Here is a 27,408-nt window from a genome sequence, read left to right as displayed (position 1 = left end):
AGACCAGCCTGGGAAACAGTGAGACCTCGTCTCTACAAAAAGAAAAAAAAATTAGCCAGGTGTGGTGGTGCACACCTGTGATCCCAGTTACTCAGGAGGCTGAGGTGGGAGGACTGTTTGAGCCTGGGAGTTCAAGGCTCCAGTAAGCTGTGAACATGCCACTGCATTCCAGCCTGAGTGACAAAGCAAGACTCTGTCTCAAAAACAAAAAAACAAAAAAACAAAAAACAAAAAAACAAAAAACAAAGAACAAAAAAAACCACAAGTTTATTCTCTCACAATTTTGGAGGCCAGAAGTCCAAAACAAGGTGTTGGCAGGGTTGGTTTCTTCTGAGGCTCTGAAGGAGAATCCACTCCATGTTTCTTTCTTAGTTTCTGGGGGTTGCAAGCAATTCTTAGTGTTCCTTGCCTTATAGATATATCACTCCAATCTCTATTACTGTCTTCACATTGCCTTCTCATCTATGTCTATGTCTCCAATCTCCCTCTGTTTTTCTTATAAGGACACACTGATCATTAGATCTAGGATCCACCTTAAATCCAGGATGATCTTATCTCAAGATCTTTAATTTAATTATATCTGCAAAGACCCTCTTCCAAATAAGTTCACATTCAGAGCTTCCAGGGTTTAGGAGTTGGACATATCTTTTTTGGGTATCACTATTCAGCTCATTAAAATAGTATTAGTGGTAATTTTTCCCCAATGTCTGTGCTTGGCCAGAAAAAAAAAATGGTGGGGGTTGGCATAGGTCAAAGAGAGTCATCTATTAAAGATTTCAGAGAGGGGACACGGTGTGGTGGCTCATGCCTGTAATCCTAGCACATGGGAGGCTGCGGCAGGAGGATAGCTTGAAGCCAGGAGTTTCAGGCCAGCCTGGACAACATAGGGAGACCCTGTCTCTACAAAAAATAAAAATAAAAAATTAGCCAGGCATGGTGGTGTGCATCTGTGGTCCCAGCTACTCGGGAGGCTGAAGCAGGAGGATTGCTTGAGCCCAGGAGGTCAAGGCTGCAGTGGGCCATGATCACACCAGTGCATTCCAGCTTGGGTGACAGAGCGAGACGCCATTCCTCTTGTCCCTCAAAAAAATTTCAGATGGGGAGCAGTTCATAGGTATGACAGATTTGTCTGGTTCTTGTTTGCAGGGTCCTGGGAAACTCAGCAGAAACACCAACCACATGCCCCTATGTCAGGGTAGGATACTGAGCTAGATTCCTCCATTGTCTTGGAAAAGAAGATAGGATCCAAGTGGTATGTGTGAGTTGTATTTAGGGAACAGAGTCAGAAGTCAATGCTGCAAGAACAGAATCAGTGAGAAGTGTGAGGTTAATACTCAGCAGTCGAGGATGCCAGGAAGAAGCTGAGAAAGAGTGTAAGGCTGTTGAAGAGGAAAGACGAGGAGGATGGGAATTCTCTTGTCCTGATCTTATGGTCTTAGGGAGAGTTAGTCCGTTTAGAAGCACATGGGTAAGGCCGGGCACAGTGGCACATGCCTGTAATCCCAGCACTTTGGTAGGCCAAGGTGGGTGGATCCCCTGAGGTCAGGAGTTCAAGACCAGCCTGGTCAACATGGTGAAACCCCATCTCTACTAAAAATAGAAAAAATTAGCCAGGCATGGTGGTGGGCACCTGTAATCCCAGCTTCTCAGGAGGCTGAGGCAGGAGAATTGCTTGAACCGGGGAGGCAGAGGTTCCAGTGAGCCCAGATCATGCCATTGTACTCCAGCCTGGGCAGCAAGAGTGAAACTCCGTCTCAAAAAGAAAAAAAAAAAAAGAAGCACGTGGGTCAGCAAAAGTGTTCTCATAAGTCTCCCTTAGTAGGTGGTGGGTTCATAAAGGGCAGAAATAGTGTCTTATGGGGTACTGAGCAAAAGATCTGACCCACGGGAGGGACTCAGTTGAATTAAACTGAAAGAGCTTGTCATTTTGAACTGTTCTTCCTGTTTACCATTAACATTTAATTAATCTACTTTAGGCACAATTATCATATTGCATATTTGGTATATGTGATGGCCAATTATATTTTTTGTTTATTTGAAAATATATTGCTTTTGAACGTATACACCCATGACATAATTTAGAATTTCACACACTGACATCAACAGGGAAGGAATAGGGTCCCGAATGAAGTTTGGAGAATAGTAGTGATCTTCACCGAATGTCTCCTTTCCAAGAAGTGTAAGATGAGCAGAATGGAAGGTAGCCTCTACCCTGGAAGAAAATCACTGTAAGTGTATCATTTTCAATCAAATGCTCAAAGCTGAGGACACAAACAATCATGTTCATGCCTTTTACATTCCATGCTTATACTTTCTTACCCAAGTGGTGATCTTTAAACCCTAGAAGTCACACCATTTTCCCAGATTTCAAGAATGATGCCCCTGCAGAAGTGTTTGGGGAGGCTGCAGGACTTTGTTTTTGAGACAAGGTCTCACTCTGTGCCCAGGCTGGGAGCAGTGGCACTATCTTGGCTCACTGCAGCCTTGACCTTCTGGGCTAAAGCGATCCTCTGGCCTCAGCCTCCCAAGTAGCTGGGACTACAGGAGCACACCACCACACCTAGCTGATTTTTTTAATTTTGTAGAGACAGGGATCTCCATATGCTACTCAGGCTGGTCTTGAACTCCTGAGCTCAAGTGATCCTCCTGCCTCAGCCTCCCAAAGTGTTAGGATTATGGGCGTGAGCCACCATGCCTGGTCTTTTTATCTTTTTAAACCAAAATTATCCAATAAGGGAACTGGACTGATATTGCCCTCTAACAATGAAACGTATAAAATGGTTTTTAGATTTGAGACCTGTGGAATTACAGGGCAATTATTGGACATTCCAGAAAGAAGGCATAAACTACAAGTTGCTCAAAGCTATTGAAATAATGACCACAGGAAGTGAGCATGCTTTAAAGCCCTATATGGTGTTATATTTCAGAAAAAAGCTGAGCTGGAAAATGAAACCAGTTTCTCTTCTAGCTGCTGAATTTTCCTGAATTTCCTACAAACTGCTTGGAATTTTGCAAACAATTCACAGCTGATAAAATAAAAGGGCAGCGGAACTCAGCGTCTGTGGTGAAGACCCTAGGGTCAGCCAGAGGGAGGGAAAGGTCATTGTCTGCCCCTCTTGGTTCCTGTAGCCAAAGAACTGTACAAGTTTTTGGTTTTCTTTTCCTCCGTTTAAATAAACAAAGTCAGCTGAATACCTACAGAAAGGATTACTAGGATAATTTGAACTTAGACTCCCCAGAGCCTTCCTGGAGAGTTTACTTGCACTTTTGCTTATTCGCTCGAAGAATATTCACTGGCTACCCACTGTGTGCCAGGCCTTGGGCTGGGCATTGATGGTTAAAGGACCATGAGGAACCACTGTTGTCCAACATGAGGAACTCTAAAGAGTGATAGGAGAGAGAACTGGAAGCAAACACTTTGAACATGGTGTGCCAAGGGCTGTGCAGAGGCCAGCACAGGGGTCTGTGTGAGCACAATGTATAAGATCAGATGCAGAGAAGTAGGAGTTTGCCACTTTCTAATGGAATCAGCTTTCGACGAAACTTTTTCAGGCTTAGAGTTAATTGTGAATTGCGAAAACTGAGAAGTAAAGGACCACACATTTAAAGCAGGTGCATGCAAGTCTGGGGCAGCCAAATGTCACCTCTTCCAGGAAGCTTCTACTCACCTGCACATGGTTAGAGATCAGCACTGTTTTTGGGGCTCCCCCAACACACTTTGTCAAATTCTTGATTATAGCGCTTATTGTGTCTTTAATTATTTATTCCTTTGTTGGTCCCTCCTCTATGAATTCTGGACTCAATGTTAGGGACTCAGTCTTATTCACTTTTGTATCTTCAGTGTTTGGAAGCACCAACAAACATTTGCTAAGTGAGTGAATGGGAGAGGAAGGCTGTGTGGTGCAGCGGGAAAGGCAATGAACTGGTAGTCAGGACATGGGGCTCTAATCCTGACTCTGCTACTAGTGACTGCATGACTTTGAACAAATCCCCTCATTGCTCTGGGTCTCAATTTCCTCATCTGTAAAATGAGAATAAAAATACAGCCTTCCACCCCAGGGTTATGGAGATTAAATGAGGTAACAGAGCTTCACCAGCTGCCTGCCCTGTTTGTGCCCTGTCCTCCTGAAACAGCCTGGACTATTGTTCCTGCCATTTGGATCTAATTTGTGCTCTCTCCCCTGGTGAGAGCTGAGCTGAAATCTGTTGCCTTGTTGGAGGGGAAGTTTGCAGCAATGGCATACATATTATCCAGTTGGCCCCTGTGTTACTACAAGGGCAGACATCAAAAGTGAGGAAGATGTCAAGCTAGAGAGATTTGCTTCTTTTGTTACCCCTAAACCTAAATGAGGACCCAAAGTGGGAAGAGTGAGGCAGAGCAGATCTACATCACATGCTGAGGTGTATAAGTGAGGCCTCAAACATTGTCCCCTAAGCCCTGGAATTCAGCAGCATCTAGGGGAATGCCACTTTAATGAAGTCTACTCATTCATATAATGTCATAATTTCTCAGTGCCTTGGGTTAAATGATTAACTCTATCATGGGTATTCAAGTGCTAAGAAAGATGAGGAAAGGTAAAAAATTGCAAATGCCAAATACAAGGAATACCATTTGGAAAAAATGGAAAATCACGATTTTAGACACTGCTGTCTCAAGAGATGACTATTGATTTTCAGGTGAGATGTCTTTCCAGAAGATCCACTAACATGGTTCTTTGTACATTGTGAAGGCAAACTTTTCCATCAAAACTTGATATATCTTCTACTTACAAGTCAAGTGTCTGGGGAGGCCCTAAAAATCTGCAACTGATAATTTGTAGGGCTTTCTGGGAGTCATATTTGTTAAATGAGTTTATTTAATTGCATGGACTGGGCCTTATCACAAGACAAGTGGTCAAGGGAAAATGGTGAGAGAAGAAAAAGAAGGTATTGAGGCTGGTAGAATCCCTACCCAAAGTCTAAAGTCAGTTCTGGTGCTAATGCTAGTGATCAAAAAAAAAAAAAAAAAGTATATTTCCATTTTGCAAGGCTTTTTTTTTTTTTTTTTTTGAGACTGAGTCTCGCCCTGTTGTCCAGGCTGGAGTGCAATGGCGTGATGTCGGCTCACTGCAACCTCTGCCTCCTGCATTCAAATGATTCTCCTGCCTCAGCCTCCCGAGTAGCTGGGATTACAAGCGCTTGCCAACATGCCCAGCTAATTTTTTTATTTTTAGTATAGACGGAGTTTCACCACGTGGGCCAGGCTGGTCTCAAACTCCCGACCTCGTGATCTGCCCACCTCAGCCTCCCAAAGTGCTGGGATTACAGGCATGAGCCACCGTGCCCGGCCCCATTTTGCAAGGCTTTTAAAAAAATATTGTGCGCTCAGATGGCACCTTTAATCACGAAGAACTTCTGGCTGAGTTCCAGACTGATTCTGCTGGCACAGAGAGCTCTGAGATCATACCCTATATTCAGAGCACAGAAGAAATATTTCATCCATCTCTGAAATAAAGAGGAAGAAATGAAGCATATTTGAACAGTTGCAGAAAAAAACCATACCAGGGTGAAAAGTGAAGGGCATCCTAGCCATTTGGAGTTACAGAAAAGTACTATTAATCCTAAATACTTAAGTGGCATATTTTTTCATTCTAAGTGTTTCACTATAAACTAAGCAGCTTGCATAAATCTATTTCATAGATATATAAATGAAAGCAGATTTCATGATTTACCTAAGACTACTTTAAATTAAAAAAAGAAAGGGAGAGGGCAAAGGAAAACAAGCAGCTCCCAAAGTAGCAGGTTGTGACCCAGGAGCTTGAGTGCTTAGAGCTGAATTTAATCCACACCCAGGTCAAATATAATTCTCCAACTTGGAAGTGGTCCAGGACACCCGAGCTAACATTTTTTACCTTTGCCAAAGAGCCTGGGGCAGTTTGGTGACAAGCAATCACAACCTCACTTCTATTTCTCAACTGAAAGAAAGACCAGAATCATCTCACAGGTGCTTTCCCCCATGGCAGGGCACTGGTTTAAGCTCAAGGACTAAGAAAGTTTGCTTCCCCTTGATTCATCATTGCCTCTTGCATCACTTATTCTCTGGAGATATATTCAAAGGTCTATTTAAGTTGGAGAGTTGGGTCATACAATTTTAGGTGGAAAGACTGAATCACAGCTTTACTCCATGTGTCAGCCTTGACCACTTGATTATATACTGTGCTTGGACGTCACTTCATCTCTCAAAGCCTTAGCTGTGGGAAAAGCCTGGGTGATTGCTCTGTGTATTAGAAACTGAAACCCCACCACTAAATGCTGAAAAGTGGTCCAGGCAAAAGGTGCTGTGGAAATCTGAAAGCCATTATCTTTTCCACACTTCCTCTCTCTTCACCCTCATTTTGTTTGGGAATGCACATGAACACCCGTGAACAAAAATAAACCAACCCACCCTTGACTGATTGTTCTGTCTTTTGAGTTATCAAACTTGAGTGCTTCTGGCTCCCAGATATGCTGAAGTAGAGACTGCTGGGAAGGCAGCCACAAATTAGAGTTGATCTTCCAGTATCTTCTACCTGTAAGGAATGGTTCAGGAAATTATAATTAATGAGTCCTGCCCCAAAGTTGAAATCATATTTGGATTTCAGAAATAATAAGAAAGCATATAAGAATCCTGGTGTCTTTTCTTAGCTCAACCATGTCCATCCATACTTTCTGGCCCTTTTAAACCAGTTACTCTATACCCAGTCCATATACATTTTGACTGTCTGCCCTCAGGAACTGTCTCAACTCAGGGCATCTTTAAGGAAGGCAGAACCACCTTAGGAGGTAGAGGGTGAAACGTGGCAACTCTTCCATAGGCGAATCAATATAGCAGACATGCTCAAGGTAGGAGGTTTTGCTAGGGCTTAAATCAGGCTGTCAACTCAAACACAATGGGCTTTGTTACTCCTGTGTAAAGAGGAAATGGAGCAGTTTTTGGCCTCCTCAGACTGTATTGTAGGGTATACAGGATGGCAATTCCAGGCACAATCTTCAGGAGACACAAATCTGCTTTTAGCTATTCAGTGTTCCCCAGCAAGTTAATTAGCTGTTTCTGAAATGCATGGAAATATTCAGCATTTTCATAGTGAAGCCAATCTCCCAGATTTAAGCTTTGGGGGTGGGAATGAGTATGTGAGGAAGAGGGTCTGTCAGGGAAACAGAATAGAGCCCTTTTGGTGAGAGATTCCAACACCTGTGACTTATCTTAGAAATTACACATGCACTGTAATTCCAAGACTTTTTTTTTTTTTAATTGGTTTGAGCACTCGAGCAGGAGGGCTTGCTGAGACCTCTCACTATTTTAGGCGTGGGGAGTTACCTCTGGGTTCAAAAGTCTTTGGGTGGGAAGCACAGAGGAACTGCGAAATGCCTCCCTCAGAAATGTCCAATTGCTCAAGGGGAGAAGCAGGGAGTGGGGTCAGGTAGCAGCCAGGAAGGTTGCAGGGGCCACGGGCACATCCTCTCCCTGAGTGGTAAGGTGGCAAGTGGGTTTGGGGACCATTGCTTTGACAACTTGTCAAGGGTGCGGAGAGGGCTGTCCCAGCAAGGTGAAGAGGTCTGTAGGAAAGGAGTCTCCCCAGAGACCTCCTAAGGACCAGAAGAGCGCGCACCCCGCCAAGTGACAGAACGTGCCCCCTCTGTGTCCGCTCCCTTCCCCCGCGGCCAATCACCGGGCAGAGGCGTCTCACGCCAGCAGGTCCTCCCTGGCTCCTCTCCTTACTCGTCCGGGCGGACCAAGCCTCAGCAGGAGCCCCGCCTGTCTCCAGGCAGTTTGAGCCCCCGAGCGCTCGCCCAGCCTGTCAGTAACCGCCGTTTGCGTTTTCTTCCTTTCTTTCTTTCTTTTTTTTCCTCCTCTTTTCTTTTCCCCTTCTGCCTTTGTCCCGCTTAGTAACTGGGCTCTGACCAATCGCCGCCTTACCGGCCGGCGCCGGCTGTCTCCTGATTGGCCCGCTTGGGGCGCGCAGCCGTCTCCCGCTCCTTCGCAGGAGCAAGGCAGACAAAAGACGCAGGCTCCAGGCTCCGGCAACCGGCCTCAGCCAATCACCACCCACCTTGCCTCTCTTCCCTCGCCCCACTCCCTCCTCGCCTGGCTCGCGTGCTCCCGGCACTGACTCCTGGAGTGCGGCCAGCGCCCGGATCGTACCATTCTGATTGAGGCTGGGGGAGAGCGCGGATGGCTGATTGGGGAGCCGAAGCCTAGAGAGCGGTGGGGAGACGTGAAAGTCGAGATGGAGAGCAGCTTTTTGAACATGTTCTCAGGCACTTGACAGAATCCCGGTACATCGAGGCGGGACGGCGTGGAAGGGGCGGTGGTGATGCCTGCTGTCCCCCCTCCCGGCGCGGTTGGGTGGCGCCTCAGCGGGTGGGCAGCATGGGGCGGGGAGGGTGTCCCCTCCGCGCCGTTAAAATGAAACTCTAGTGGCTGGAGTCCGGGCAGAGCTTGAGGGCAGTTGGTGCGGTCGGGTTGGTTCTTACACCCCGGCGGGAGCGCCCAGACAAGCCGAGCTGACTGGACTTCTCCGGCCGGCCCCATTCCCGAGGCTGCGGCAGCTTCGGTTCCGAGACCGACCGGAGAGGAGCCCGAGTCCCGGCCTCTGGGGGATTCGCTCTCTGCAGACCAGTGGGACCCCGAAACTTGAACGCAATCTCCAGCCCCCTTTTTTGCCTTCCTTTGTCACTTGCCCGGGTTTCTCCCAACGTGTTCTTTTTTTTCCTCTTCATTCTCCCTCCTTCGAAGGACACAAAAGTGGCTTCCGCGGAAAGATTTGGAGGCGGTGGGAGCTTTTCTCCCCGGAGAGCGACTGTGTAGAAAGGATTTTTGGGAAGCCGCTTTTTAACACCTCTGCTCTCCGTCCCCCAAGCCTCTGTGTAATCCTCTGAGGAGAAAAGCCCATAGCTTGAAAGTTCGGGGGCATTTTGTTGTGTTCTGTAGGAGAGAGGGGGAGGACCCTGTTCGGGTAGTTTGGCCGGACTGGTACTGGCCGTTGGAAAACCCGAAGTACATTTCCGTGTGGAACTTTTGCAGATATATATTTTTAGATTTTTAAATACCAGATAAAAAATATATGCCTTCTATATATCTCCTGGCGACCTGCCCCTGACAGCGCGATGTACAATACGGTGTGGAGTATGGACCGCGATGACGCAGACTGGAGGGAGGTGATGATGCCCTATTCGACAGAACTGATATTTTATATTGAAATGGATCCTCCAGGTACTTGGGAGAAAAAAAAAAAGAATCTCGTGATGGGTCTGATTTGTATTTACCAAGAGCTTGCTGATGTTTTCAGGGCAGAAGTATTCCTGGGTGCGCTAGGTTCGGGATGAGGAGATTTGCAGTTACAGCTGCGGTAAAACTGCTTCTGGTTTACACGTTTAAAGTTTGCAGTTAGGACCCTGATCCTATTGTCCTGCGAAGGTGGGGGTGGGGGCTGGAAGTGGGGGTGGGAGGAGAGACCCCTTTTTAAAATTATCATTATTTTTTACTTTGCCTTTGCGTGTCGTTCAGGTTTTTCTTGTGCCCGCCACTTTATTTTATTTTTTTCTTTTTCAATTAAAGACTCTTCTACCTGCAAAGGATGTTTTATATCCCGGGGTTAAAACCAGTCTTTCACTTTGGGCGAATTCTTGAAAGCTTGTCCTTTCATACATTTGTCTAATTTGGTTCGTTGTGTTTTACCCCGGTTAACTTCTGAAACTGAGTTATGTGATTATTCATTGTAAGACTCCCTTTTTCTCTTGCAGAAACAAATGCCGGTTAGTGATTTTTTTTAGGGATTGGGCGTTCGTATTCAGCCATGGTCTTAGTCTGAGGTTTTCCTTCTCAGAAGATAGTCGCTCAGAGAAATCTACGTGCAATATTTTATTACTCTTTAATTTAATGATGATTTAACTTAATTTATGGGATAGGGTTTAATGTAACTTCAATTCCTAGAATAAAGAAAAAGCAAAAACAAAAACGAGGGAACCTTTCTGTTTCCTGTGAACGTGTGATATATACATATGTGTTCCTATACACGTAATGTAAAGTATACATATATAGCACTATATTTTTATTTTAAAGCTCTGTCTGACGCTATTACAGACATTTTGTGTATCTGGTAGGAAAGGAAAAGGAAAGCAAAATGGAAAAGTTGGCTTTTTTTTCCTTTAAAGTCTACCCCATTTTATGATTATTAGCTGTCAGATTTTCTCAAACCCTGTTTGCAGTTACAGATGGTGTTTTATGTAATGATTCTGAATAAGTAGAGAGCCTTTGTGACTCCTTGTTTCTGTCGAGGATGAATTCTTTATGTATTTTAAAACGTGTTATGGCTAAGTCTACAGAATAAAATGTGTGTCATTGGGGAACCTCGTTTATTATAAGACTGTATTTTTGGAAACGTTTGAAAGGATTTGAGCCATGCAAGTGTGAAGAAGTGTAACTGTCTTATAGAAGGTATGTAGAAATTGTTTCCTGTGTCCTTGCAAACGGTGAATTATCCTGTTTTTTTTTTCAATTAGTCAGTGTTAAATGGTGCTGTACTAAAAACTAGTATTGAATAAACCTTTTTCACTCTTGATGATCACTTAGAATTTTTTTCTTTTCCTTTATTTCAGAGCTTTATTTGCTTTTATAATTGTGACTGCAATCCAGATGCAGCTTTTCAGTGTTTTGTAAAGTTTGTAAGATTTGCCACCCATCTATTGTGTCTTTCCCCCTTTGTTTCCCCCTAACGGTAAAGCATGTTAGATACATTTGTCATACATATGAATAGAAATTTAGTACATCACTGGTACTTTTATTGTAAAAAGTAAGGTTAATAATTCTAGATTCCTGTTATAAGAATTATATATTCAAACTGCCTTAGAATTATACTGCATTATATAGTACCTTGCCTTGCAGACATACAAAGGGAATTTGTTGGGTGGGAGGTGAGTAGGGAGGAGGGGAGAAAATGAAGAATGCACTTATGGTTGAAATATATTAGCCTAGTAGAAAAATACTGGTCAAGTTGAGTTGAGTTGTCCAAAAATAATTTTAAGAAAAGTTGACTGTTATAACTATATGGAGACGTGGGTCTTATAAGGTTGTATAGAAAATTCTGATCCAAACTTTATTTTCCATGGAAATAAACATTTGAGTTTAAAATGTTCATCCTTGAATGAAATTGTGCATACTGAGATTCTATTGAGAATACTGAAAAATACATATGCTGTTCTTTATTACCCCTTTTGTAGCTTTAATGTAGAATATGGTTAGTTATTCCTAACAGCTTTTTGAAAACGAAGCACACTTGAGTATGCTGAAACATTGCCTATGAAGTGAATGGTTTTTCATGGAAATAGTGTGAATGTCAACCTTGTTTTATGTGATAAATTAAGTTTTCAAAACATTTAAAACTGTATCATTAGTGAAGTGGTTGCAGCATGTTTTGTAGGTTTTTCCTAGCTCCCACCCCACATCAAGCTCTTATTATTTCCTTCCTGGACTGCTGTGATAGCGTACTAACTGCTCTCCCATTTCTATCCTGTTCAAGCCACGGTAATGTTAAGAGTATCATCTGATGATTTATCTTACAATGATAAATCTTCCAATGGGTTTAAAAACCTCTGAATGGCTTCCCTTTGCCTACAAAATAAATAAATAAATAAATAAATAAATAAATAAATAAATAAAATCCCCCAATTGCTTACCCTCTCATATAAGTCCCTCTAATTTTTGCTTCCAACTTAATTTTCTAGTTAATTCTCCTCCTGGAGTGCATCATAAATTCTATAGAAGCAATTTTGTATTTGCTGTTACTTGAATGTATGCTTTTTTTCCTCTTCCTGGGATGCCTTTCACTCACAATAGTTACATGTTGAAATCTTATATGTATGTGTTTTTAGGACCCAGGTCAGATACCTTTGGTGTCAGAATATGTTCTCTAAACCCTTCTGTTAAAAGTCATCCCTCCTTCCTCTTGCCTCCCTCTTCTAGCACTTCTTCTTCTTTTTTTTTTTTTCCTGAGGCAGAGTCTCACTCTGTTGCCCAGGCTGGAGTGCAGTGGCGCCATCTTGGCTCACTGCAATCTCCGCCTCCTGAGTTCAAGTGATTCTCCTGCCTCAGCCTCCCAAGTAGCTGGGATTATAGGCATGTACCACCACACCAGCTAATTTTTGTATTGTTAGTAGAGACAGGGTTTCACCAGGCTGATATCGAACTCCTGACCTCAGGTGATCTGCCTGCCTCGGCCTCCCAAAGTGCTGGGATTACAGGCGTGAGACCCCGCGCCTGGCCTACTCTTGTAGCACTTCTCAGATGAAATTTTTTCCATTCTGTCTAGAGAAGCTACTGTACTATTTATGTATGCTTCTCCCTATGAAATTGGCTTCCCACCTGGTCATGAGCTGCTTAGCTTGCCCAGGGTCTTGCAAGTAGTAGACAATTTAGTCAGTATATGTTTAATTAGTAAATAAGGAACATTGTTTCCTTCTAGTCTTTAGGTGCCTTTCTACTTAAGGTCCTTGCTCAACTCATTGCTTGGCTATTGTAGTAGCCTAGGGCTAAATAACTTTTGAATTAGACATTTGTTGACTTAGGGCCCTTAACTGTAATGGTGCCAATATTTTTATATGTTTTTTCATCTTTATTTTATTTTCAAGACAGAGTCTCGCTGTGTCGCCCAGTCTGGAGTGCAGTGGCTCTATCTCGGCTCACTGCAACCTCCACATCCTGGGTTCAAAGGATTCTTGTCCCTGAGCCTCCCGAGTAGCTGGGACTACACAGGCGCATGCTACCATGCCTGGCTAATTTTAGTATTTTTAGTAGAAATGGGGTTTTGCCATGTTGGCCAGGCTGGTCCTGAGCTCCTTGCCTCAAGTGATCTGCCCACCTCGGACTCCCAATGTGTTGGGATTACAGACGTGAGCCACTATGCCTAGCCTTTCATCTTAATTTTAGACTGAGCCATAAATGCCAAGTTTTATCTATTATTGCTTCTAGTGGCCTCAAAAACTATTTTTCAAAGATGTTTCCCTCTAGCCTATCTTTTCAATAACTAACATTGTTGTGCATCCTGAAGGTTCCTAATAACTGCATGGATTGGTGTATCTACAGTCATAGTAATGTAAAAGTTGAATCCAAATGGGAGTTTAATGTCTTAATGTTTGTGTATTTCCTGGCAGCAGTAGATATACTGAACTGTTCAGATGAAACATAAAACTTTTTATTTTTGGCTAGGTGTGGTGGCTAATGCCTGTAATCCCAGTGTGCTTTGGAAGCCCAAAGCAGGAGGATCGTTTGAGGCCAGGAGGTCTAGACCAGAACAGCTTTGTAGAGATGCCATTTCTACAAAAAACAACAACAACAAAACTTTTATTGTAGAAATGTTAAGATTGTAGTACAGAGAATCGCCTATAAGCATCTTGGTTAGTCTTGCTATGACTTCGGGAATTGGGATTATTCTGTAGCAAAGCTGGATAGAGGCCTCTCAAAGAGCGTCACCTTTGGTCTTTTGAGGATTACCTATACACAACTGATTATAACTCATACACAAAAGGTTGTAGCTAGTGGTCTGTTAGCTCAGCACTTTAGTTTTGACGTTGTTATTGTTTTCATTTTAGGAAAATGTAATAAATAACTTCCTTTTTAAATTAATGGACAATTCTTTTTTAAAAATTGTTGGCTTTTTTTTGTTCTTATCAAGACAGACTTCTGAAATTATGTATATATATATATATTTTTTTTTTTTTTTGAGGCAGGGTCTCACCTTTGTTGCTCAGGCTAGAGTACAGTGGCATGATCATGGCTCACTGCAGCCTCAACCTCCTGGGCTCAAATGATCCTTCCACTTCAGCCTCTCTAGGAGATGGGACTGTAGGTGCTTGCCACCACACCCAGCTAATGTTTTAAAAATTATTTTTTGGTAGAGACAGGGTTTTGCCATGTTGCCTAGGCTGGCCTTGAACTCCTGGGCTCAAGTGATCTGTCTGCTTCAGCCTCCCAAAATGCTGGGATTACAGGCATGAGCCACCGTGCCCAGCCTAAAATTATCTTTAGGGCAGCAACGTCTCTTCCTTAGATAATTAGAAAATGAAAAGTTTTGTTTTGCAAAACATGAATATAGGAAAGTCTAGAAAAGTGGTTCTCAATTTTTTTTGGTCTCAGTACCCCTTTTAGACTTAAAAAATTAGAAGACCTCAAAGGGCTTCTCTTTAAGTGGATTATATCTATTGATATTTGTAGTATTAGAATATAACTGAGAAATTAAAATATATTTAATTCATTAAAAAATAATAAAGCATTATACATATGGCTTTTTTTTTTGAGACAGGGTCTTGCTTTGTTGCCCCAGGCTGGCCTTGAACCCCTGGGCTCAAGTGATCCTTCTGCCTCAGCATCCCTCTGCGCCACCATGCCTGGCAAACATGTTAGCATAATTTTTCTAAATGAAAAAATAACTATATTTTCTAAAAGCAAAAAGAGTTAGTGGGAAGAATGGCATTGACATCTTTACTATCCAGCTTCATAGAAGACTTATTTGGTTTTTTTTTTTTTTTGAGACAGGGTCTCACTCTTTTGCCCAGAGTGGAGTGCAGTGGCGTGATCTCAGCTCACTGGAACCTCCATCTCCCAGGCTCATGCAATTCTCCTGCCTCAGCCACCTGAGTAGCTGGGGTTACAGGTGCCTACCACCATGCCTGGCTAATTTTTGTATTTTTAGTAGAGACGGGGTTTTATCATGTTGGCCAGGCTGGTCTTGAACTCCTGACCTCAAATGATCCACCCGAGTCGGCCTCCCAAAGTGCTGGGATTATAGGTGTGAGCCACCATGCCTGGCCAATAGAAGACATTTAAATTCTCATCTCTGCTGCTGCATTGAGTCTACTGAGATATTACAGGTTATAACCTCTGGAAAACACCCCTGTACAGTTATAAGAGAATGAGAGTGAAAATGGCCAATAGTATCTTAGTGATACTATGAAAATAGTTCTGACCTCTTGGACCCTCTGAAGGGTCTTAGAAACTCTAGATTGCGGCAAAGCGCGGTGGCTCATGCCTGTAATCCCAGCACTTTGGGAGGCCGAGGCAGGCGGATTACGAGGTCAGGAGATCGAGACCATCCTGGCTAACATGGTGAAACCCTATCTCTACTAAAAATACAAAAAGTTAGCTGGGTGTGGTGGCGGGCGCCTGTAGTCCCAGCTACTCGGGAGGTTGAGGCAGGAGAATGGCATGAACCCGGGAGGCGGAGCTTGCAGTGAGCCAAGATGGTGCCACTGCACTCCAGCCTGGGCAACAGAGTAAGACTCTGTCTCAAGAAAAAAAAAAAAAAGAAACTCTAGATCGCATTTTGAGACCTACTAGTCTAGAAATTAGACTATATAGTTTGGTGGACAACCTAGTAAAGTATCTTCTGACTTTGAAGCCAGACACAAAGGTGGTTTCGAAGAAGCTTATTTGCTTACCTTGACATACTTGGTATTTTCAACCTGGCACAATTTAGATTAAGTAACATTTTGGTGGAAAACTGGTACACTGGCCCTATGGTTGGGGAAAATATCTGCTGAGAGCTACATAGAATAAATAGGTCATCTGCCACTTCATGATCCTTACTGTTAACAGGTTAAGCAGCCTTATGTGGTTGAATTTTTATTTTTAACCCTGCACATTTGGATTCATCTTATATAAATACTTCTCCTGTGTGTAGTAAGATGTTTCTTTTATGATCTAGTTGTCAGTTTTTAATGATATTGTCGTTTGGGACAAATGCTTATATAATCAAATGATGTAAAAGCCATGCCAGTTTTTTTGTCTTCTTATTGAAAAAGATTAGTCATTGCTTTCATTTAATATATTATAATGTATAGTGTATCCAACTATGTTTCACTAGAAGTATGGTGATTCTCCCATTTGATAATGCTTTTAAAATTTATTCTCATTGTTTTGATGCTGAATGCTTTTTTAATTTTAATTTTAATTTTTAAAATTTTTTTTGAGACAAAGTCTCGCTCTTGTCCCCCAGTCTGGAGTACAGTGGCATGATTTCTGCTCACTGCAATCTCCGACTCCTGTGTTCAGGCAATTCTCCTGCCTCAGCCTCCCGAGTAGCTGGGATTACAGGTGTGTACCACCACACCCAGCTTATTTTTCGTATTTTAAGTAGAGACGGGGTTTCACCATGTTGGCCAGACTGGTCTCAAACTCCTGACCTCAGGCAATCCACCCGCCTCGGCCTCCCAAAGTGCTAGGATTACAGGTGTGAGCCACCACGCCCGGCCTTTTTTTTTTTTTTTTTTTGAAAAAGAGTTTCACCCTTATTGCCCAGGCTGGAGTGCAATGGTGCGAGCTCGGCTCACCGCAACCTCCGCCTCCTGGGTTCCAGCGATTCTCCTGCCTCAGGCTCCCAAGTAGCTGGGATTACAGGCATGTGCCACCACGCCCAGCTGATTTTGTATTTTTAGTAGAGATGGGGTTTCTCCATGTTGGTCAGGCTGGTCTCGAACTCCCAACCTCAGGTGGTCTTCCCGCCTCGGCCTCCCAAAGTGCTGGGATTACAGGTGTGAGCCACTGCACCCAGCTGATCATGAATACTTTTATATTTTTCTTAGAATGTAGAAAAGATAGGACGTGTTTATGATTGCCATATTTAACAAGATAGGTAGAAAAATATAAATGTATCTATGTGATATGATATAATTTTTTATTGGTATTAAAGGGGGAGACAGCCTGAGTGTAGTAGAAAGAACACAGGCTTTGGAAATAGATGACATAGATTACAAAACTAGCTTTGCTTCTTATCCTGCCCAGAGAAAACCTCTCTGTGCATCTGTTTTCTGTAAAATTGAACTCTTACCTTTGTAGAGTTGTGGGGATTAAATGTACCATATCAATATCTAGTATAGTATTTGACATATATTGTGTACCAAATAAGTGTAGCTTGTATTTAGAGCTTCTTATTGAAAACATGTAATTATCCCATGTCTACCTCTTTGGGTACTCTTGCAGTCAAAACCTTTGAGCTATTTTGCCCCATTCTTTTCTTCCTTCCCAGTGTTTACTGGGGCCACATTTTATCCATTTTGGGTTTTGGAATTGTTCTCTAGGGTCTTTTCTAGTTATAACGTTTCATGAGTCTATGGAAATGTCAACCCAAGTCATCTTTTCCTTTTAGTTTCTATTGCCTCTTGTCCAGTTCCTCAATACCTCACCTTAGAAATGATTTGTAATGAAGGTAATAGTTGCTAACATTTGTTGAAGAAATTATTATAGTCCAAGCACTATGTTAAATGCTTTTATATGTATTCTTTTAGCCACACAACAACCTTATAAAATTGGCATTGTTATTATCCCACTCTACAGACAGGAAACTGAGACTTAGGTTTAGTAACTTACCAAGTAGCAGAGCAGGTCCATCTGCCTAACTAAAGCCCAGGTTCTTAACCAGTACCTCTAAACTGGTTGCTCTGTTTCCGATTTCTTCTACCCCTCACTATAAGTTTGTCCCAAATTCTTCAGACAGGTTAGTTCTACTGAAATGTTATTTTCATTGTTTTACTGTTCTTTTCAAAAATAATCAGCTCTTCATTTCTTTTAAGTAGAGATAATATTCTTAAACTTGGTATACATAGTCTTTAGTAATATGGCACCTAACTTACATATTTATAACTTTATTACTAATTTTCTATTCATACTTCTAGTCGAATTCCTTCTAGCCCAATACCCTGATTGCTCATTCCTATCTCAAGCTTTTGCTTAAGCTGCTTCCTATGTAGAATATGCCCGTCTCACCTCCATCTTTAAATCAAGAGCCTGTCTGCGTCCCCTTTCCTTCTTAAAACTTTCTCCAAAAATTCTAGCACTGTACCCTTTTATATGTAGGGCTGTCTCTGTTATTTTGACTTGGAATCATGTGTTATATTATGATAATTATTTCATGAATATAATTCACCTCCCAAACAAGATAAGTTTCTTGAGGTCAGGCTGTTGTATTTCCTTCATATCTTTTTTTCTTTTTTCTTTTTTTGAGACAGGGTCTCATTTTGTCACTGAGGGGTGCAGTGGCTCACTGCAGCCTAAACTCTTGGGCTCAGGTGATCCTCCCACCTTAGCCTCCTGAGTAACTGGGACTACAGTCATGTGTCACCATGCCCAGCTTGTATCTTTTTTCCCTAAACATCCAGTGCCCAAGTATTTTGTTAAATTTTAGGCCCATGGATCCAACTAGCTTCATTTTGTGACTTAAGCTTTAAAATGTTAATATTATTTATTATCAGCATGTGACCTCTAAACTTATGAAGATAATTGGCTGGGCACTTATTGTAACAAAGGGAATAATGAAAAAAAATGCAATACTTAATGTTATTAGCAAGATTTATATAGCTCTGAGTAAAATTGTGTTTGAAACTTTGAACAATTAGAAATGAATAGGCCGGGCGCGGTGGCTCACACCTGTAATCCCAGCACTTTGAGGTGCCGAGGTGGGTGGATCACTTGAGGTCAGGAGTTCGAGACCAGCCTGGCCAACATGGTGAAACCCTATCTCTACTAAAAATAAAAAAATTAGCCAGGCGTGGTGGCGCGCCTGTAGTCCCAGCTAGTCAGGAGGCTGAGGCAGGAGAATCGCTTGATCCCTGGAGGCAGAGGTTGCAGCAAGCTGAGATCGCGCCACTGCACTCCAGCCTGGGTGACAGAGCGAGACTCTGTCTCAAAAAAGAAATGAGTAGTAAGTTTTTCACAGTGTATTAGGTTAGTTTTAAATAACACAGGGCCAAACGGAGAGTTTTAAGTTATCCAGTGTGTTATTATACCACTTAATTTTACTGTGTGTAAGACTTGACTTTTAACAAGTAAAGTGAGCCATCAAGCCTTATTAAAGATCAATTTCCACATTGCTTGCCCATATATGTTGTATGTATTGTTCCTTGTGCATATTTGTAAATTCACATAAAGTAAAAGGGTTATCTTATTGTTTTCTTTTTCTTTTATTTATTTATTTTATTTTATTTTATTTTATTTTTGAGATGGAGTCTCGCTCTGTTGCCCAGGCTGGAGTGCATTGGCATGATCACAAGTTACTGTAGCCTTCCCACCTCAGCCTCCCAAGTATCTGGGGCTACAGGCATGCACCACCACACCTGGCTAATTTTTAAAGTTCATTATTTTAATAAAAGAGGCAGTAGGCTACGTCCAGCCTGCCAAATCATACCATTTTGCATGTCGCATATCAGTATGAAAACTGCCCTATGAGTTGGTATTGATGAGCCAACACAAAGCCAAAGTCAATACCATCTACCCTTATCCATACTTGGACTTCCTGTTTCATGTTCTGTTTGTGGGCCAGATTGCCTATCCTTACCTGAGGATATGTAACAACAAATCCAGAGCATGCAACTGTGTAATCTTAAATATTGTGATAATTTTTATTTATTAACTATTTATTTTTAAATATTTATTATTTTTTAAATAGAGGTAGAGTCTTTCCAGGTTGCCCAAGCTTGTCTCGAACTCCTGGGCTCAAGCAATCCTCCCACCGCAGCCTCCCAAAATGCTGGGATTACAGGTGTGAGCCACCGTGCCCAACCCGTATTTATTTATAAACTTAAGAAAAATTCAATTATGAATCAAAATTAAAAATCTGAATGAAAATTGCTCTGAAAAAGGTCTTGCTGAAAGGAATTGTTGTGCTGGAAATATATTGCTTTAGATTCTGTTCTTACATATGTATTAAGCTTTTTTTTCCATAGAGGATAGAGTGACCTTTTTACAACAGGGTCACTCAATATGGTCTAATTTATGTTGAACTTCTAATAGACATTTATAGAATTAACCACAACCTTTTTTTCTGATATTAGTTCTGGGATGTATTTTATAAAAAGTGTTTAATTCATATGTTTTCAGCTGCAAGCAACAGAACTAATTCAAAATGGCTTTAAAAATAATAAATTTTATCTTCTCATTTAATAGAGTTAGTTGATTTCAGTAGTTCAACAATGTCAGTATAAACCCATATTTTGCTTAGCCATATATTGCTCAATTCTGCCATCCTTGGGACTGGCTTCATCCTCAGGCTAGTAGCAAAATGGTTGCGGTGATTCCAGGCATCATATCATATCCATAAATAACAACTTCCAAAAGAAGAGGAAAAGTATCTCTTCCTGTGCCACTGTTTTTGGATAGAGGAAACTTTCTACAAAAACCTCTAGCAAACTTCTTTCCCATCTTTTTGGCCAGAATTGGGTCATAGGCTAGTTCCTGAACCAGTCACCAGTAAATAACCCTTAGGTTAATCACGTTTCTCAATCTGGAATGGTGTTGGCTTCTACTGAGGTATATGGTTGTATTGGGGAGAGATTCTGTTAAAGAGGAAGAGGGAGAGAATTGATGCTAGGAAAGTAATTTGGAAAACCATAACTCTCTTCAGTGTTATTGTCTTTGTCAATAAACAGTATTAGCAAGTTATTTTTTACTTTTTCAAAGTTAAAATCTAGCTGTGGGAAATGCATTCTCATTTTCTATTTTTTTTGAGACGGAGGCTCCCTCTGTCGCCAGGCTGGAATGCAGTGGCACGATCTCAGCTCATTGCAACCTCCACCTCCCGGGTTCAAGCGATTCTCCTGCCTCAGCCTCCTGAGTAGCTGGGATTACAGGCGCCCACCACCACGCCTGGCTAATTTTGTCTTTAGTAGAGATGTGGTTTCACCATGTTGGTCAGGATGGTCTCGATCTCTTGACCTTGTGATCCACCCACCTTGGCCTCCCAAAGTGCTGGGATTACAGGCGTGAGCCACCGCGCCCAGCCACATTTTCATTTTCTAAGTTGGACTTCATAGGGTCACATAGTATTGAGTTAATATAAGACAGACCTTTTTCTATCTTGTTGGTTGCTTACTAGAAGATGAGGAAGCTAACATCTCTGGTTTACAGTTAACTAATTTGAGGAATATAGGCATTGGAATAGTGTTAGTGTAGCAAGTAAATGAGTGTAAGAGAACATTTTGCAAAACTATACACTTAAAATTCTAAAGTTCAGTAAATTAAGTAAACTTGGGACCTGTGGAATGATTTATGATTTGAAAGCTAGCCTGAAAAATTAGGAGCCGTCCAGACTGGGCAACATGAAGAAACCTCGTCTTTACAAAAAATACAAAAATTAGCTGTGCATGGTGGTGCATTCTTATAGTCCCAGCTACTTGGGAGGCTGAGGTGGGAGGATCACTTGAGCCCTGGAAGTCGAGGCTGCGCTGAGCTGTGATTATACCACTGTACTCCAGCCTGGGTGACAGAGCGAGACCCTGTCTCAAAAAAAAAAAAAAAAAAAAAATTAGGAGTTGGTTACAATGGCACATACCTGTAGTCTCAGCTACTTACAAGGCCAAGGTGGAGTTTTGCTTGAGACCAAGAGTTGGAGATCAGCCTGGGCAGCATAGTGAGGCTATCTCAAAAAAAACAAAAAAATGGAATACTACTTTAAAGTAACCTGTAGATTATATCTTTCAATTAAAATGTATGATGTGCCTAAGTATTGATTTTTCTCAGTATGTTAGAAATCTAGAGGCAGTATAGTGGAGTAGTTAAGAGAGGGGTCTCTGGAATCAGAACGCCTGAGTTCAGATTGTGCCTCTGCCACTTCTTAACATGTGTCCTTTGGCAATTTACTTACCTTTTCTGTGTTGTGGTTTCCTCACCCAAAAAGTAGGGTGATAATGGTCATTCAATAGGGTTATGAGGATTTAGTAGATTAATAACTGTCAAGTACTTAGTGTGGTACCTAGAACATAGTAAACACCTGTAAATTTTTTTTGTTTGTGTGTTAATTCATGTTTTTCAACAAATATTTGACTGCCAGGCACTATTCTAAGTGTAGTAGTGAACAAAACAGCAAAAATGCTTCATGGACTGTACATTTCTAAGGGAGTGAGGAGAGCAGAGAATAAACAAATTCATAAGTAAAATACCTAGTGATGGTGTTAAATGCTGTGGAGAAAGAAACAGAGGATAAAAATAGAGTACAGGGTGAGAGATCTGCTATTTTAAATAGGAGGCCAGGGAGGGCCTGACCTAAAGCAATGGGAGAGCAGGTCATATGGAAATATAACAGGTGTGAGGATGGGGGTTCCAGGTAGAGGATATCAGATGACCTACCCTGAGGCAGGAGCATCTCTGTGATATATTCAGGGATCATCTAGGAGGCCAGTATGGCTAGAATGGAATGAGGGGAAAGTAGTAAAAAAAGACAAGTGGCTGGGCGTGGTGGCTCATGCCTGTAATCCCAGCACTGTGAGAGGTCGAGGTGGGCAGATCACCTGAGGTCAGGAGTTTGAGACCAGCCTGGCCAACATGACAAAACCCTGTCTCTACTAATAATATAAAAATTAGCTGGGTGTGGTGGTGGGCGCCTATAATCCCAGGTACTTGGGAGGCTGAGGCAGCAGAATCGCTTGAACCCGGGAGGCAGAGGTTGCAGTGAGCTGAGATCGTGCCACTGCATTCCAGCCTGGGTGGCAGAGGGAGACTCCATCTCAAAAAAAAAAAAAAAAAAAGACAAGTAATGGTATGGGTGGTGGGGCTTTCCCACCATGTATGCCATTGTAAGCCATTGTAAGAACTTTGGCTTTTAAAACTCGTATAAGATGAGAAGCCATCAAAGTGTATTGAACAGTGATGTACTATGATTCTTGGCTTAAAGAATCATTCTGGCTGCTGGTGGAAAGAGGGAAAGGTAGAATTAGAGAAACTGGTTAGGAGGCTATTGCAACAGTCAAGCTGAGGGGATGATGGTGGCTTGGACAAGGGTAGAAGCTGTGAGGTTGTAAAAAGTGGTTGCGTTCTGAATGTTACTAGTTATATAGCTTGTCATTTCCAAACTGACTTACTCACTTTATTTTCTAATTTCTTAGCTTTGTATTTCTCCATATGCTATATATGCTTTAATAATTAATAAGTCTAACTTTTAAAGTAATGCCAAAGCTATTTATATATATTTTGATGTATTTTTCTGTGTGGGTTTTTTTGTGTGTGCGTGACTGGGTCTTGCTGTGTTGCCCAGGCTGGAGTGCAGTGTCACCAACAGCTCACTGTAGCCTTGACCTCCTGGGCTCAAGTGGTCCTCCCACCTTAGCCTTCTGAGTAGCTAGGACCAACTACAGGCGTGCACTACCACACCTGGCTAATTAAAACAAATTTATTTTTGTAGAGACACGATCTTGCTGTGTTGTCCAGACTGGCCTTGAACTCCTGGCCTCAGGCAATTCCCTTACCCTGGCCTCCCAAGTGCTGGGGTTACAGGCCTGAGCCATTATGCCTGACCTATTTTTCTCTCTTTCTTTCTCTTTCTTTCTTTCTTTCTTTCGAGACAGGTTTCACTCTGTTGCCCAGGCTGGAGTGCAGTGGCATGATCTTGGTTCACTACAGCCTTAACCTCCTAGGCTCAAGCAATCCTCTTACCTCAGCCTCCCGAGTAGCTGGGACTACAAGTGCATGCCACCATGCCCAGCTAATTTTTCTCTTTTTTGAAGTGTTAAGTGATTCAGATCTCTGACATCCAGTTGCCAACTAACAGTATATGTGGCCTTAGTTGTTTGATGAAAGCTTGTTCATGAGTTACTTTTTAAATAAACATTAGTTGATAAATTTAGATTGTACTATAATTTACTTTTTTTTTTTGGATACAAGATCTTGCTGTCACCCAGACTGGAATGCAGTGGCACAAACATGGCTCACTGTAGCCGTGACCTCCTGGGCTCAAGTGATCCTCCTGCCCCAGCCTCCTGAGTAGCTAGGACTATAGGTGCGTGCCACCATACCTAGCTAATTTTTTGATTTTTTGTAGGGATGAGGTCTTACTGTGTGGCCCATGCTGGTCTTGAACTCCTGAGCTCAAAGGATCCTCCTGCCTTGGCGTCCCAAAGTGCTGGGATTATAGATGTGAGCCACCACACCCAGCCAATTTACTTTCAGAAGTAACTTTGGAAAAGAAAATTTCCTGATGTTCTTAATTTTTTTGGTGGGCTGTGAAGGGGAGAAGAAACTAAAGAGAACGAAGCCATGCCATACATGTTTCATTTTACTTTATGTGCTGAAGTTCTTGCTTTCTGAGAATAATTAATAGAGATTTATGTTATTTTCTTTTTGGCATAATGTTTAAGTGCTTGAGTATAGATAGATATTGATATAAAATGGGTAAAGTATCTGTGTTTAAGAGCTCCAGACTCAGGTTGTTGGGATTTCCTATTCTAGCCCTGCCTATTTCTAGTTTGTGACCTTGGGCAGTTTTCTAATCTGTATAGCATAGAAAAGAATATTAATCCTGCTGTAGGGTTATTGTGAGAATTATATGGAATAGTACACATAAGACACTTAGGGCAGGTATCTGTTATTGTTGTTGTTATTTTTATTATTTATTTATTTATTTAAAACAAAATTTTTTTTTTTTTTGGATGGAGTTTCGCTCTGTCACCCAGGCTGGAGTGCAGTGGTGTGATCTCGGCTCACTGCAACCTCTGCCTCCCGGGTTCAAGCAATTCTCCTGCCTCAGCCTCCCGAGTAGCTGGGACTGCAAAAACACATTTTTGAAAAAGAGATAAGGCTTTAACTCTGTCACCCAAGCTAGCATGCGGTGCCCTGATCATAGCTCACTGCAGCCTTGAGCTGCTGGGTTCAAGGGATCCTCCTCCCTCAGCCTCCCAAGTAGGTGAGACTACAGGTATGCACTACCATGCCTGGCTAATTTTTTTTATTTTTAATTTTTGTAGAGACGGCGTCTCACTGTGTTTCCCAGGATGGTCTCAAACTCCTGTCCTCAAGTGATCCTCCTGCCTCAGGCTCCCAAAGCAGTGGGATTATAGGCATGAGCCACTGTGCCTGGCCTATTTTCATTATTATTGATAAAACTGGGATGCTTTGTGGCTCATCTCCATAGCGTCCCATTCAGAGGAAGAACCAGCCTAATATTCAAATTAAATTGAAAAGTAATTTAAGTATTTATTCCATCCTCTCAAAAATGCCAAAGGGGTTTACATTCATAAAACTACAATACTACTTAAAATCCTATTTCTTCATGTTTGGCATGGTTAATCCCAAACTTTCTTCTCTCTTAAAACTTACCAACTCATGACAACTTGAGCAGTCTTATTTTTGCGTTTCTTTTGTAACCCTTCTCAAACCTATTAAGTTTCTATTCCGTGAGTACCTGTCTCCCATTAAACTCTCTCCTTTGCCCGTGTCATTATTCTGATCTGTACAATAAGGGCCAGGAACCAAGAGAGCAAAGAAAAGAAGCTATGAATACTCAAATATAGCAACATTTTTGTTTCTGTCACACTTATCTGTGGTAGAGGATATAATATGTTTTGGCTTTTGGAAAAAAAGTCTGTTTAGTTTTAGAAGGACAACGAGGTGGTTCAGACCTGTTGCAGGACATTAATTCGGGACTTGGAATTTAGTTTTTCTCCAGATAGTCATAAACTATATAAGAGCTGCTATCATATCTCTCTAACTGGGACTGGTTCCTAGTGTTCAGCCCTTGAAATTTAGTATTGCCAGATAAAATATATGCAGTATGGACCATGCAGTATTATTCATTGTTTATTTGAAATTCAAATTTAACTGTGTGTCCTATATTTTTATTTGCTAAATCTAGCAACCTTAATTTAGAGAGAGGATGCTGACTAGGCTGTATTTTCTAGTACATTTTCTATGGTGTTTAAGAGTACATGTGTAACTTGATGTGGTGGATATGAGGATACTTTCAGTTTTGATAACAGAAAATGCAACTCAAATTAGTTAAAACAAAGGGAATTTGAATTTGAATTACATACGCTTATGTAATTGAAAAGACCAAAGGGAGTGAGGGCCCCTGGCATGGTTTGATGAAGGGTACAGGCTTTGGCCCTGTTTTTCTATAATTCTCTTGGCTTTACCCTGTATTAGCTTTTTTTTCTCAAACGGGCTTCCCCAGTAGTACAAGATGGCTGCCTTTGTATGTTTCCTCATTCCTGGAGAGAAAGTAGATGCTTCCTACAAATACAGTGCAAAATCCTAAGCTTGACACTAATTGAACCATCTTGTGCTCCAAAGGATCACTGTCTTAAAATCTGGGTAGCTTTCTGTGTCTAGACCAGTGGCTTTTAAACTTGAGTGTGCATTAGAACTACCTGGAGGACTTGTTAAATTACAGATTGCAGCCAGGCACTGTGGCTCATGCCTGTAATCCCAGCACTGTTGGAGGACCAGGCGGGAGGATTACGTGAGTCCAGGAATTCAAGATCAGCCTGGGCAACATGGTGAAACTCTGTCTCTACCAAAAAAAAAAAAAAAAAAAAAAATTAGTGAGGCTTGGTGGTGTATGCCTGTAGTCTCGGCTACTTGGGAGGCTGAGATGGGAGGATTGCTTGAACCTGGGAGGTCGAGGCTACACTGAGCTGTGATTATGCCACTGCACTCCAGCCTAGATGACAGAGAAGATGCTATCTCAAAAAACAAAAACAAAACACACAAATTGCTAGGTCCTACCCCCAAAATGTCTAGTTGAGTAGGTTCCGTAGGCTTGGTTCCAAGAAGTTATATTTGTAACACGTTCCCAGATGTTACTGATTTTGCTGGTCACAAACCACACTTTAAGAACCACTGTTATGTCAAATCAGGGCCTACTTCTGGAGCTGAGGAAGGGGTCAATCCCACTTAAACTTTTTACCAGTGAGGGGAGGCGGTAAGATGTTTTGGAAGATAACAACAATGTCCACTGAAGAGAGGACTGCTGGTTTTTTTGCATATCTACTTTCTCTTCCCTCTTCCCTCTTATTTAGGTAAGAACTTCCTGATTTTTCTCTTGGAACCACTCCTCCTTCATTTGGAATGATGTGGCTTGGGTGGTTGGCCTAACCCATTGGTTTAAGGGTGGGCACGTGATCTAGGCCTCGTCAATGAGAGCACTTGCATAGTCACAGTGATCAGCCCAGGAGTGAATAGGGCAGTGATCTTTGTAGTTTAGTCAGTGTACGTTACTATACGTTGCTGTTTACTGTCCTGGCTAGGGATATGAAGATTACATAATCCCTGTCCTCAAGAAGCTCAGACTGTAATTATGAAAGACATATCTGTAAATATACCCATGCATCGCTCCTCTTTATAATTCCTTCTCTTTCTCCTGTCATCTAAGATATATTTTTAATAGATACTGTACTACCTACCACCTTTATAATCCTTAACCATACTTATTATCGTTTAGTGTCTTTAGTCCTCATTAAATTATAAATTCCATCAGGATAAGGACTGAGTCCATAATTAGTTGCTGGATCTTCAATACCTAGCCCTGTCTCTGGCACATACAAAGTATTCAGTAAATATTGATTGAATGAATGTCAAAGTATAGCAATAGAAGAATATATAAATGAAATAGGGAATGATTGGTTTACTGGTGGAGTAGG

General features: G+C 41.9%; 2 protein-coding genes and 1 long non-coding RNA gene across 14 annotated transcripts in view, besides 2 other annotated features; 2 read left to right on the top strand and 1 right to left on the bottom strand.

The window, feature by feature from the left end:
* P3R3URF-PIK3R3 (P3R3URF-PIK3R3 readthrough) overlaps window positions 1–27,408 on the top strand; it is a 136,349-nt gene that overhangs the window by 35,410 nt on the left and 73,531 nt on the right. The gene's annotated exons all lie outside the window — the stretch shown is intronic.
* PIK3R3 (phosphoinositide-3-kinase regulatory subunit 3) overlaps window positions 1–27,408 on the top strand; it is a 134,762-nt gene that overhangs the window by 33,823 nt on the left and 73,531 nt on the right. For 6 of the 12 annotated variants that reach the window (NR_137329.2, NM_001328654.2, NM_001328653.2 and 3 more), the window contains exon 1: window positions 8,450–9,232. The exons of 1 other annotated variant lie outside the window; for it this stretch is intronic. Coding sequence is in view for 5 of the 11 variants with exons in the window: in NM_001303429.2 (NP_001290358.1) it covers window positions 9,127–9,232 (106 nt within the window). In the remaining 6 variants the exon portion in view is untranslated. Of the gene's footprint in view, window positions 1–8,042; window positions 8,381–8,449; window positions 9,233–9,307; window positions 9,369–10,405; window positions 10,457–27,408 lie in introns of those variants that run through there. 5 more of the 12 variants (NM_001114172.1, NM_001303428.1, NM_001328649.1 and 2 more) reach the window with 5 other exon arrangements.
* Window positions 1,998–7,708, bottom strand: LOC101929626 (uncharacterized). Its single transcript, NR_125987.1, has 3 exons — window positions 7,689–7,708; window positions 6,425–6,548; window positions 1,998–2,212 (listed from the first exon to the last, which is right to left on the bottom strand). It is a non-coding gene; the product is annotated as an uncharacterized LOC101929626 (long non-coding RNA).
* Window positions 7,668–7,897: an enhancer, noted in NCBI's record as "active region_992". NCBI's record gives its function as "activates an Ori minimal core promoter by ATAC-STARR-seq in GM12878 lymphoblastoid cells {active_cell/tissue: GM12878}" and the evidence as "EXISTENCE:reporter gene assay evidence [ECO:0000049][PMID:35858748]".
* Window positions 9,138–9,187: an enhancer, noted in NCBI's record as "active region_991". NCBI's record gives its function as "activates an Ori minimal core promoter by ATAC-STARR-seq in GM12878 lymphoblastoid cells {active_cell/tissue: GM12878}" and the evidence as "EXISTENCE:reporter gene assay evidence [ECO:0000049][PMID:35858748]".

Source organism: Homo sapiens, chromosome 1 (assembly GCF_000001405.40).
Source record: "Homo sapiens chromosome 1, GRCh38.p14 Primary Assembly".
Taxonomy (NCBI): domain Eukaryota; kingdom Metazoa; phylum Chordata; class Mammalia; order Primates; family Hominidae; genus Homo; species Homo sapiens.
Note: the sequence above shows the minus strand (reverse complement) of the source record. Positions and strands in the feature narration are given on the sequence as shown.